We start from the raw sequence: 14,418 nt of genomic DNA on the forward strand, positions 1-14,418 counted from the left end.
TCTATCCAATAATCCAAAATAGTACTAAAATTACCAACTTACAGATTCATAGATATCTTTTAAAGATTTTCTTAAGCTTATGTAATAAAAGAAATTTTAGTTTTACAGTAGATCTTCACAATTTAATACAAATAAACTGCATTGTAACTTGCTATTCAGCTAGTTTTTATGTATGCTATGTACAGACAGGCTATGCATGGATAAAGGTGCAAGAGTAATGTTTAGCTTTATATATTTACACACATGCCAATATAATGATAAAGTATTACCTATATTTCTCATATTGAGCTTGAGTTTTCCTGCATTTCCTCTAAGAAATACCAGATGGAAGAGCTGATAAAAAGATACACAAATTAATATTGAAGTGATGAAGTTTGACCTTTTTAATATGAAAATCTTGCCAAACTTTCCATATTGACATGGCAACATTTTATGAATAAATCTAATATCTTATAGATTTAGCACAATTCAAAAGTCACCATCTGTTTCAAGAAGTGAAGGCTCTCACATAGTTTCCTGGCTCTAAGACTACCAGCATGCAATCCATAGCTTATATAATATTAACTACCAGGAACATGTGAAAAGTTTTTATATATTTTAGAAAATTAGAAACATAGGTAACATTTTTAATTACTGTCAAAATTATAGATAATAGAGTATGGATATTCTTTTTTCTTAAATGAAATTGAATGGTCTCTTGCTCATTCTCCATATTGAGTTATAGGTCAATACCATCTGGTCAAGCAAGCTGCAATGCAGAGGATATATGTGGGGAAAGGGCAGATAACTGGAATCTGATGTTGAGCAGAGGTGTCTGAGAGCCTTTAACAAATTAAATATGGGTATTATAAGAAGTAGTCTATTTTCTATAAATTACTTACTAATATCTTAATTTGATATGACCAAAATCAATCCTACTCAGAATCATTCTTCCCATTTTGTGAAGTTAATGCGGATTTTGCATTACAATAAATTTCTTTCTTAAACAACTGTGAGAAATGAGCTAATTAAAATGAATTTTAAAAAATCTGCACCAATTTACATATATAATATGTATGAGGTTTTATCCCATAGACATGGAGACGTCAACAGGAGATAAAAATTAGTCCTTTTATAAAACTTAGCAGTTTTTATTTTGTTTTCTGAACCAAATATTATCAAAGGTAATGTGATAAATATGTCTACAATGATTTCACTTGACATATGTTTGGGTTTTAGCAAATACTAATAAGGGTTCTTGCTGCCCAACTATTAGAAACTTTTCCAGCCTCTGTCCAGATGATCTTAAACCATGCATTTCTTTACACCGAGCTATTAAAAAGTGGCTATTGGAGATGTGTTGCTCTGGCAGTAATACAGTTCTTGGCCAACATCCCACTTTGGCTACCCTAAGAGTTTGCTAACCAAAATAAATTATTAGGTATTAGGGTGTACCTTCAATAGACATGGATAACTTTATACCTCTGGATAAATCTTTGAGGAAATGTTCTCAGGAGTGTTAGTAGCATCTAAGGAAGGGGGAATAGGCTATGTGCCTTTAAAACATGCAGATAACACAGTAAATCACCTAGAATAAAGGACACAGGGCTTTTTTAGAGAATAGAATACTGGGTAAAAGTTAGCTTTTGTGTAAAACAGACACTAAAGGTGCCAGAAAATTTTAAACTTCAGAAACTTAAAAAAGTGTATATATATAGTAAGACAATTTTTCTGAACTTCCCCAAAAGAGAATAACCCTTGTGAAAACCAATAGCTCTCTCTATGTGATCCCTTTCAAAATTCGCTGAAATGAAAGACAAACTGTGCATGAGTATGAATTACAGTGTACCTGTAGAACTGTGATCTCTGCTCCATTTCATTTAAGAAGAACTTCTACCTTGATACTGAATTGACCTCAGTCACTACAAGTGGCTTATTCAAGTTTGTTCTACTTCTCCCTTCTGTCCTACAGATGTAAGATAGATTTAGTTGGAGGAAGTACTGGCTAATAACAGAATAAAAAATAATAGCTAATAACAAAAAATAAAGCCATATTTTACAAGTTGGGCTTATGGTTTATTAATTTTTGAAAATAAGTTTTTATTAGGCTGGGCATGGTGGATCATGCCTGTAATCCCAGTACTTTAGGAGGGCCGTGGAGGGTGGATCACCTGAGGTCAGGAGTTCAAGACCAGCCTGGCCAACATGGAGAAACCTGTTCTCTACTAAAAATACAAAAGTTAGCCAGGTGTGGGGACGCACGCCTGTAATCCCAGCTATTTGGGTGGCTGAGGCAGGAGAATCACTTGAACCTGGAAGTTGGAGGTTGCAGTGGGAGCGTGGGCAACAGAGCGAGACTCTTTCAAAAAAAAAAAAAAGTTTTTAGCCATCATGCTATTTTTTTTATTGTCAAGAAATACTTTAATATTGAAGACATCGTGTCAACATTCATATGATGAAAAAGGAACCTAACTCACATGCTTTTTAGGGAGAAATTTACCCTGCATTTGCATAGTGAGAGTTTTGTTAGTGAGAATTAAGTTGGAAAAAGCCGTACCAAAAGACCTTTAAATTCTAAATTTTGCCCAGTTAATGATGAAGTAAGACTAAACAGATGAGACAGCAAGAGAAGGTGACATAAACAACTGGACAGATAAAGCAAAGGCAATCGTAAATCCAGGGACATCCACAATGACAGGAATCAGAAGCCTCAAGCTATGTATCTCTATTTTCCCTGCCCTCTGGCAGGAATCTTCTCTCATGTACATTGTATCTTACTGGCCTAAACTTTTAAGAAACTTATGTTCTCAGCCAGGCTTGGTGGCTCACACCTGTAATCCCAACACTTTGGGAGGCTGAGGTGGGAAGATCACCTGAGGTCAGGAGATCAAGACCAACCTGGCCAACATGGCAAAACCCCCTCTCTACTAAAAACACAAAAATTAGCCAGGCGTGGTGGTGGGCACCTGTAATCCCAGCTGCTTGGAGGCTGAGGCCGGAAAATCGCTTGAACCCTGGAGGTGGAGGTTGCAGTGAGCCGAGATCGCACCATTGCACTCCAACCTGGGGGACAAGAGCAGAACTCCAACTCAAAAAAAAAAAAAAAAAAAGAAGAAGAAACTTATGTTCTCCCTTTTTCATCAGTTTTCTATGTATTAACAATTTCTACTCAACTGGTAATTCCAATTAATTAAACACACTGAAATTTCTTTCATGTTACATTTTTTTCTCTTGATTCCTCACTTTACCTCTTTTTATACTTCCAAATTAAAACTTCAAAGAGTTGTATATACATATTACCTTGATTTTTCTCTAATCGGGCTTCTTCCTCTATCCTGCTACACTGAAGTCTTCAGGTCATGGAATCATGTGGACAGTCCAGTGGACTGGAGCATTCGATAAACTTTGCCATTGCCTTCCATGACACTCTACTCCTTTTTTGGCTGTTACTTCCTACTTACTCCTTGTCAGACTCTTTTATGATTTCATCTTTCAGTATACAGTTATTAAATGTTAGCTCATCAAGAGTCATTCTAGGCAATTTTTTTCTACTGTATACTCTCATCCTTTCCCATGGTTTCAATTATCGTCTGCACAGTGATGACTCATGAATTCATATTTTCCAACCAGATCCCTTCTCTGACCTTTACTTCCATATATTCAATGGAAAATTCCACTTTGTATTTCAAAGGCACCTTAATCTCAGCATGCTTAAACTTAAACTCACGATCTTCTCAATCTAACCTGCTCTTCTTGCATTGTTTATTATTATCTCTGTGGATGATCTGCTATCCAATTGCACATAAGGAAATGAATATTAGTTTTTGACACCTCTATTTTCACTCCTAGTATTTAATGAGTCATTTTGCTCCTAATTATGTCATAAATATGTCACTTTAGTCCAAGCCACCATTATATCTTACTTGGATATACAGTAACCCTCTAACTGGCTTCCTCAATTATTCCTTAACATAGCTGCAAGGCCAGACAGCATTTGCAAACTGTCTACCTTTCAAACTTTGTTTTTCATTACTAAGGCACCCTCTTCTGCTTCTCTGTTCAAAACACGCTGTTCTTTGCGGTCTCTGAATCTGTATATGCCATGGTTTTTTCTAGCATAGGGTTTTGTTTTATTGATAGATTGATTGATTGAGTCTTGCTCTGATCCCAAGGCTGGAGTGCAGTGGCAGGATCTCGGCTCACTGCAACCTCTGCCTCCTGGGTTCAAAGGGGATTCTCCCGCCTCAGCCTCCTGAGTAGCTGGGATTACAGGCACGTGCCACCATGCCTAATTTTTTTGTATTTTTAGTAGAGATGGGGTTTCACCATGTTGGCCAGGCTGGTCTTGAACTCCTGACCTCAGGTGATCCAGCCACCTCCCAAATGGTTTTTTCATGTACTCTTCCCTTGCCTGAAACTCATAACCACTGCTTTGCCTGTGTTTTCTTTTACTAAGTTTATCTCTATTCATTTTTAAAGCTCTTTGGTCTCTCTAGCACAGGCTAGGTTACTTTTTTAAGCCTTCCTGCATCATGTTTCTTTCATTAACAACATATCTCAAATTATTCCTTTATTAGTGTGTCTACTTGTCAGTCACCCTCACTAAACCATATACACATAAGAATTAGTTTTTTTTTCTGTTTTGGCTTACCATTGAATTCTAGTAGCTTAGTATAGTGCTACAAGTAGAGTAAGAAACATTTGTTAAATGAATATATGAAACTAAATATAGAACAAAACCAGGAGAAACAGAAAAATGAGATGCAAATATTAAGACATCGAGAGCATGCTTAGCAGATGAGCACTCAACAGTTTTAAATTAATGATATATAATATGTAATATATAGTCCTAGGGTCAGCCTACTCTCACTTTGAGCTCTTGTAGGCTATTGCCTATAACACAGAGCAGATTTGCATTTTTACATTCATAGGGATATCTCCTTTTTACTTTCTTAAGTTTTGATAAAATTAATCTAAACACTTGGAAAGTCCTTTTCAGTTTTACTGGAAGCATCAATATTTATTTTACAGGTTGTTTTTTTCCTGAGGCTATCTCAGAATCTGAATGGTTTGAGGACTGCTCTATTAAGTTATTACTTAAAAGTAAAGAAGAAAATCATTTCTCTAAGAATTTAACCCCCGAATAGCAATTATTTCATGTATAACTGAAAGTACTATTGTTTGTATAAATTGTTGACATTGTATAAAATGATGTTCTTATTAATAGAAATGCCTTTTAAACAGTTTTCTGTTATTTAGCTTCTCATCTGGTTCTTTTTAGTGATCAACAGCAAACACTTAGAAATGGTTGAAATATTTGTCTGTTGCTCTGAAGGAGTTTGTTTTGTCTGTATAGAACTCAGTGTTGCAAAGGGTATACGTAATTTACAAATAATGATTTCATTACCTTAGAGTAATTTCATTGCCTTCTTGTTATAAGCAAATGAATTGCCCAGCCCAGACACCCTCATTTCTTCATTCATTCAGACATTTACTGAGTATCTCCTATTTGTCAGATGCCCTGTTAAGTGCATTAAAAATGAGTAAGAAACCATCTCTGCCTGTAAGAAGTTTCATTTTCAGATTGGTGTCCATTTTGTTGATGTGATTTTCAGACTGATGCAGTTTCAGAGAAAGTTTATTTGATTTATATAAACTTCATAGGTTAGCCAAGATTCCTGCTGATCAGACTAACTTATCTAATTGTCATTTTAAAGACGAACTCAGTCACAGAATATTTTTCAATGACATAGAGTAACTTTGGAGACCATTATTACTATATGAAAAATTTGAGCTATACTGATGAAAAATTTTGAATTCTTAGTTGCTGCATGTAAATTTTGTTTAGTAATGCCCCTGAGATGTGATCATCATTTAGCAATTTCTCTTTTCTGATGTTTTATAATTTTGAAGCATAAATGAATTCAAAGACTGATTTCCAAAAATTTATATAATCCAGAAAGACATTTCCGTTTAACATTCTGTTGGTTTTGGTTTTTCTTTTCTACTGAGTTTTCTTTTTTTGTGCAGTCAATGGCTCCCACTAACCAATTCCTAGCAGCTGTACTCCATAGATATTTTGTTGAACAATAAAACTGGATGTTAGTTTTAACTGAACAACTTGATGCTTTAATTTATTTGCTTGCACCATAATATTTTCAAATAAAATTGATTTACTCTGTGTGCAATTTGATTCCCATAGGATAGTATTAAATTATAGCTTAGTTCAATTTGTAGTTCATTCCACCAAATTATAAAAATAAGTAAAACAAAAGCAAAAATAAAAAAGTAAACAAAACAATTTTCAGATGGACTTTTAAAATTCTTTTCACTTTTGGGTGGCTGTTACACACGTAAATAACATTTAAAAAATAGAGTTCAGGCCGGGCATGGTGGCTCATGCCCGTAATCCCAAGACTTTGGTAGGCCTAGGAGGATGAATCATGAGGTCAGGAGTTTGAGACCAGCCTGGCCGGCATGGTGAAACCCCATCTCTACTAAAACAAACAAACAACAACAACAAAAAACTAGCCAGGCGTGGTGGTGCACATCTGTAGTCCCAACTACTTGGGGAGGTTGAGGCAGGAGAATCGCTTGAACCCGGGAGGCGGAGGTTGTAGTGAGCTGAGATCACACCACTGCGCTCCAGACTGGGTGACAGAGCAAGACTCCATCTCAAAACAAACGAACAAACAAAATTTCAGCACGAAAGAACTACCGTGGAGTACAGTACTTACCGTATTGTGATAGGGGTGAATGCATTTGTGTTAATGCTGTAATTAGCAGAAACAGTCAAAATATTTTGAGAATTTCCACACCCATATTTAACTGATGGCCTTCCTTCCACAAGAAATAAATGAAGAAACTGCTTTCCACAATTATTCCCATTACCTTTAAGAAAAAAAGAATATATTAGTAATTATTGTAGATTTATATTTTATTGGTTAACAATAATTAAACACAATCTTTGCCATCAAAGACTAATGATTTAGGGGGTTGGTAGGAGTGCTATTAGATAATTATTCAGTGTAATAAGTACCATATTAGAAACGTACATTATTGTCCACAGGCTGAGGATAGCATGGTATTAACAGCATTAACTTGACATGAATTTTAACTTTTGATTCTGTTACCTAGTAGCTAGATGTCCTTAACTATTTTAAACCTGTTTCCCCATATGTTAAAATGGGGTAGTGAGAGTAACTACTGTGAGTATTAGAACTCCTGTGATAATTAAATAAAATAATAAATGAAAAGTGCCATGTTGAGTTTTTAATAACTTGTATTATTATTGAATCTAATGTTTAAATTTTATTTTTGATTTCTAATTTCTTATGTTTATTTGTATTTTAATTACAAAGGAATATGCATCTTCTATCAAAATAATAGAGAAATATATAGAGAAAAGAGATAAATATTTCTTTTCCCCAATCTCATTCTTCATCCCCACTTTGAAATGTTCTTTTCTACCACCTATCTCCCCACATACAAATATTTACATATCCCAATTTTATTTTTAAAAATGAGATCATACTTTATTCATAAATTCATAAATGGCTTCATTCATCTTTCTCTTTTTGCTTAAAATTTGGACATCTGTCCCTGGAAGCCCATGGATCTCTCTTTTTAACTTTCCTAATTGAAGTATAACTTGTACAGAAAATCACAGAAATTATAAGCATAAAGCTCAGTAAGTAATCACAAAGTGAACCCGCTCACCTAAACATCACCCAAATTAAGGAAAGGACCATCATCTGCATTGTCAGAAGTCCTACCAATCACTATTCTTTTCTGCTCTTCATCAAAAGTAACCACTATCTTGATGTTTAACAGCTATAGTTAGTTTTACTTGATTTTAATCTTCCTATTAGTGGAATCATATTGTATGGATTCTTTAAGTCTACTGTAGTCTTCCCTTTATGACAGTCCCAAAACAGGTAATTACAGTACAATAAAATATCTTGAGAGACCATATTCACATAATTTTTATTACAGGATATAGTTATAATCATTCTATTTTATTATGTGTTGGTGTTAATGTCCTACTTTTACTAATTTACAAATTAAACTTTATCATTGGCATGATGTACAGGAAAAAATCATAATACTGATAGGGTTCAGTACTATCCACAGTTTCAGGTGGATCTTGGAATGTATCCCTTGCAAATAATGAGGGACTACTGCATTTGTTTTGGCTCAATGTTATGTTTGAGAGATAGATTATGCCACAGTTAATTCATTATCATTGTTTTGTAATAATCCATTAAGTTAATATTTAAAATTTAATTACTGTTTCTAGTGTAGATAGACATTTTCCCCCTAGGCTTTCGTTACTGTGAAAAATGCTGCTATGAGCATTTTATATATGTCTTTCAGTTAAATTGCATACATTTCTGTTGTATATATATCTAGGAGTTGAATAGCTCTGTCAGAAAGTATAAATATGATTAACTTTAGTAGCTATTGCCAGTTTTCCAAAATAATTGTTTATATTTAACACTTTACCAGCAGCATACAAGAGTTCCAGCTGATCCATAGCCTTATCATTTGGTATGGTCACTTTGTAGATTTTACCTATTCTGTTTATTATAGCTTTAATTTTACTTTCTTGATATTGGTGAAGTTGAACATATTCTCATGTTTACTGACTGTTTTGATATACTCTGTTGTGAAATGTCACTTTGTGTTTCTTGCTCATATTTATATTTAGTTGTTTCTTTTTTCTTATTGAATACAAGCTCTTTGCCAACTACATGGATTGTAAATATCTTCTTCAGTTCTGTATATTGACTTGCCAATCTCAAGGGTGAGTTTTGATGAATGTAAATTCTTAATTTTAGTGTAAATCAATTTATGTATTGTTTCCTTCAGAGTTATGATTAGTCCTTTCATGTCATGTTTAAATGTTGTGGGGTGGGGGGACGGGGGAGGGATAGCATTAGGAGATATACCTAATGTAAATGACGAGTTAATGGGTGCAGCACACCATCGCACATGTAAACATGTGTAACAAACCTGCAGTTTGTGCACATGTACCCTAGAATTTAAAGTATAATAAATATATATATATAAAAAGAATTATTTGCCTTCCCCAAAGTCATGAATTTATTCTACATTACCTTCTGTAAGCTTTACTTAAGTTCTACACTCTACCTAGAATTAATTTTTCTGTGTAAGTACTGTGGAGTTGTGATAAGCTGAATTATGACACTCAAAGACACCCATGTACTAATTGGTGGAACTGGTGAGTGTTATTTGATATTGCCAAAGAGACTTTGCAGATGTGATTGAATTAAGGAGCTTGAAATGGAGAGATTATCCTATATTATCTCGGTGGGCCTTAAACATAGACACAAGTGTCTTTGTAAAAGGGAGGAAGAGGGAGACTTGATGGCAGATGAGGAGAAGGCCATGTGACTACAGAAACAGAGACTGGAGTGATGCAGCCACAAGCTACAGAATGCTGACAGCCACCAGAAGCTGGAAGAGGCAAGGAATGGATTCTCTGAAGCTTCCAGAGGGAACCAGTCCTGCTGACAGCTTGACTTTAGCCCCATAAGACTCATTTCAGACTTCTGACCTCCAGAACTGTAAAAGAATAAATTTCTATTGTTTTAATGGTAACTTGGTATAGCAGCAATACAAAATAATGCAGGGATCATTTTTTCATTTTCCATTTTGATTTCTAATTGATCCAAAATCATCAAAGTAAATAATTCTTATGATGTAAATATTGAATTTTCAGATATTTATTTGTGGAATATATATATATTTTACTATTTTTGAGTTTTTCCATTCCCTACTTTTCTTCTATTGTTTTTATCAGTATATGTATGTATATACATATCAGTATATATACACATGTGATATACATATATCAGTATATGTATTTTATGATAATGACATTGTTTTTGTACTCAAGCAATAGAAAAATGGACAAATAAAAGTGTCTTAAATCTCTCCAAAATTACAACCTTCAGAAATGGCCAGCATTAATATTCAGTGAACATCTGTAGATACAAAGATTGATATATGGATAGATAGGTAGAATTTCTTAAAATAAGAGCAGGATCACACTATAAAGTATTTAAAAAAGAAAATTATATGAAATGAGTGGTTCTCAAACTCTTTGATCTAAGGACCCCTTAAGACACTTAAAATCCAGTGAGAACTCTAAAGAGCTTTTGTTTACATGTTTCGCATCTTTTGATTTACTGAATTACCATTTAAAACCATGAAAATTTTCAAATGTTAATTTAAAAATATCATTACATGTTAACCTAAATAACATATTTTGTGAAAAGTAATTATATTTTTTTCAAATAAGAAACAGCAAGAGAATTATTCTATACTTTTACAAATATCTTTATTTTGAAACTTAATAGGAGACAGCTGGATTATTATATCTACTTCTGTGTTCAATCTGTTGTGAATTGTTTCTTTGGCCAAAGTATAGGAAGTTCAGCCTCACACAAAATGTTATGGGAAGAGGAGGAACATTTTCATAACTTTTTCAAATACATACAAACTGGACAAATGGCAGTTCGTTAAAGTTTAGTTGCAGTGTGGAATCTAAAAGTGTATTAATGAACTTCACGTCCTTGTTACATTAAAATGTTATTGGTCTTTCTTGCACTTTGAATGGATGTTTTACTCAGTCATAATTTTATAACATCACTAATTGATCATTTGAAAAATATTGGTTCAGAGTTATGCAGAGTTTTCAGATATGACACATTTATTGTATAATAAGATATCAAATTCATTAATATTACCACTGAGATAATCAGAAAATGTTAGAAAGCTCTCAAGTTTGTTATGGGGAATGTAGATTTTTCCAAAATTCTAATTTTTCTTAGACAGCTTGAGTTTTATCGGCAAAAAATACTATTAGCTGTTTTCCTTGAGGTAACAGGCTTACTTTATTACTTTTTCAGAAAATAGCTGCCAAATAGTCATGTCTGAATAACCATACATTATCTGCTAGTCATTTTTTCAGTAGTTTTCATAGTGTCTAGTTAAACTGGCAACTTGTCTCAAGGCAACTATTATACTTTAATATGTAGTCAACTTTCTTAATGTGTACTTCCAATGTTACAGAATATTAAAACTTGTATACCCAAGTGTTGAGATTTAATAAGATTATTGAATTTTATTGCATCTCTAAGGACATTTTTTTAAGTGTCCATTTTTGTTTTGAGTGGACAGTGGAAAAGAATACAATGACCGCTAGTACGATTTGGTGCTGCTGCCTTAATATTAAGGTGTTAATAATTTTATTCATTATGACTTTTACACCATGAGCGAAAATGTCAACACAGTGATTTTGACCTTCTGGACACTTGAAACTCCTGTGGATCCCTCAGGAGTCTATGGATACACTCGGAGTATCCCTGTGTGAGAGCTTACCTCCACTTAAAAGGAAAAACCAGAAACCAGAATGAAACTAGACTTATTGCTCAACATTAATTAAGTGTTTCTTTAACAATTCAGCAAGACTATGTAGAAACCTGGGTTATCTGTTCCCCCTACCTCAGGTTCTAGACGAGTGGATTAAAAGCAACAGTCAGGGCTCAAAGAATGGTTCAGAGAAAGGTGTCTGGAAAAATTATGAAAGGCTTTGAAATGAGAAAATAATTTAATATTTAGCTTACTCATCCAGGTTCTCTGAACCTTTCTTTGTCTCTGAGCTATTTCCCAATACTGTAAGTTGCAGAAAACTAATAATAATTCACATGATTCCTGACTATACTAATGCATGTTAATTTTCTGATGAAATGAAATTATTACCCCATGGGGAGACTATTTTTTTATCTACTTGTAAATTTACTTCAGAATTCCTTATTCTTTATACATGTTTGTGCCCCTTGAATTGTTTCTTGAACTTGTTATAATATCTCACCAGTTACTACATAAATTAATAAGTAAATAAAATCTTTGACATTTTTTTATTACTATTATACTTTAACAAAGAAAAATCAGCTAAATCTTAAAGAATAATTTTTAAAAGGGTATATAAAAACACATGTCATTTAGCATTAGGTATATCTCCTAATTAGGTATATCTCCTAATTAGGGATACCTCCTGATGCTAAATGACATGTGTTTTTATATACCCTTTTAAAAATTATTCTTTAACAAAGAAAAATCAGCTAATTCTAGTTTTTGATGTTACAACACATATAAGGAGGAATGATTTGTATCATATCCAAACAAATAAAACCAAAACCAACTCTGAGGAAAATTTGCATAAAAACAGTGCAAATGGGGTCCCTGATACTAGGGAACATTTTACTCTCGCACTGGACAAAGATGCCCACACTGAGGATGACCAAGTTGGGGAAGGAAGGAAGAATTCAAAACATGGTTGAAGAAACATATAGAGCCGGGGGGACATAAAAAATCCAAGGCACAGAAGTACGTTTCCCATTAGTGCTGCGCTTCAAGCTATAGAACTTATTGAGAATATAAATTCAGTATGAGAGCAACACAAAGTAATACATAATAATAAAAATAGATTAAGTCAATATTGCAGAAGTAAGGAAACAGATAAAACAACAGCATTAAAGATTTAATAATTTAGAATAACAAAAGGCATATGGTTGAAAATCACTCATTTGAGATCCTTCTAAATGTCCTATTTTAGGATCCACTTAACCCATCTGGGTTTATCACTTCTGAGGACTTCAACTGTACAATGAGCAAATTAGCCCACTGCATGGCATAGGGCAATACAACTTTATCTTTTCTGCGTCTTCTGAGATCCATTAGCAGGTTGTTTTTTTTTTCGGCTTCTACTCTTTAGTATTTTTTTCTTATTTTTCCCATGGCTTCCTATTCAGCTGATCAGGCTGCTTTTATCTGAATTTGAGAGTATAATTAAAATTTTTTTGTATTCTTGACTTTTTTTCTGGAGTGGAGGTGAGGTGGTGGTTGGGAGTTGGAGCATATTTAGAAACACAAAACTGCACCAGCACTTGTGTGTTTTTCTCCTTGGATCTGTAAAAGGTTATATTATAAAATGGCATAAGGCGGTTCTTCTTTCTTGAATTGTTGACTTGTTCTCCACTCCCATCATTTTGTGCGTGGGGAGGGTGTTAATGCACTAAAGGACAGTCTGTTATCCTGCTCCATTCTATCGTTTCTACTCAGAAGCTTTCTATTTCTTAATATTTTTCATAAACTGCTTTATGTTACCATTTCAGACTCATATTTTTGAGATAAGTCTTAAAAATAGGATATATAGTGTAGGGTAGAACAGAACAGCTGAGCATTTAGGTCAAGCTGTTGTGCCATATGTACAAGGTTTGTTTTTCAAAACTTCAAAAACTGAATTTTAAAGATTGACTATACACATTCAACAAGATGTATGTAGTACTATGCAAGAATGAGTTATTTTTAAAGGAAGCTCAGCCACTAACATCAATGACAGAGATGAATAGTCTTATTCAAGTATACCAACATCCCATTATGGACTGTAGCTGCTTTATTGTACAGTATAAAATAAGACTGCTTTAATAAAGGTAATGGGAACAAAAATGAACAATGAAGCTTAGTTCTCTTCACAGTCTGCTATATATTAACAGGTTTTAATTTATCATATTGATTTATTCCATTAACAACAATTCGTGGTTTTATATAATATTTTTTACAAAGGTCAAAGTGTTTTGCAAATAACATATGATGGTAGGTGGGAAAGTAGAGGATCTGACACTACTGATGTGTTTCCATGATTCTATAGCAAATTAATCACCTTAGGGAACAAAAGACATATCACTTGATTGACTTTTTTCACCCTCAAATCAATTGACTTTGTATCATGTAACCCTAGGATTCTATAAGTAGAGAAAAGCTATGAATAAACACATTCAGGAGGAACTCTGGTTTTTCCAAACAGTATTAAAGACAATTTTCAAACACAATTATGGTAAAAATTATTTGATTTTAGAAGGGAAAAGTTAGTGGCAATTAGGAAAAGAGAAAGAAACTTGAATTTTCAAAATACAACTACTGAAGAAAATTCTAAGTAATGACTATTCTTAGATAAATGTATGTATTTTTACATTAAACCTTATGGATTGAGTAATCCATATGTCATATTAAATTTAGTTCAACATTGCTCGTTGAATGTAGACATCAAGCAATGTGAATCTTTATATATATGTGTGTGTGTGTGCATATATATATATATGTTTGCAAATATATATAGGGCAAATGTTAAAGGCAGTGTCTGGAACATTTCCCCCATAATGTTCTAATTTGTGCTACCTTCAGGCAGGACTTGAAAGCTCTAGAAGAGTTTACCATTAAGTCGTTGAAAGAAAGTCATTCTATTCTTTCACTGAAAAGATGCTTGATGATCCATTAGAGAAGTATGAACCTATCCTTTTCTTGAAATATTAAGTTGGTGCAGAAGTAATGCGGTAATAGTTCTTTAGG

At 33.5% G+C, this 14,418-nt stretch overlaps 1 protein-coding gene across 2 annotated transcripts in view; it reads right to left on the minus strand.

Annotated features, from left to right (window-relative positions):
- Positions 1–14,418, minus strand: part of EYS (eyes shut homolog) — a 1,987,247-nt gene that overhangs the window by 339,642 nt on the left and 1,633,187 nt on the right. For both annotated transcript variants that reach the window (NM_001142800.2, NM_001292009.2), the window contains exon 33: positions 6,717–6,870. In NM_001142800.2, coding sequence (NP_001136272.1) covers positions 6,717–6,870 — 154 coding nt within the window. The remainder of the gene's footprint in view (positions 1–6,716; positions 6,871–14,418) is intronic.

Source organism: Homo sapiens, chromosome 6 (genome assembly GCF_000001405.40).
Source record: "Homo sapiens chromosome 6, GRCh38.p14 Primary Assembly".
NCBI lineage: Eukaryota > Metazoa > Chordata > Mammalia > Primates > Hominidae > Homo > Homo sapiens.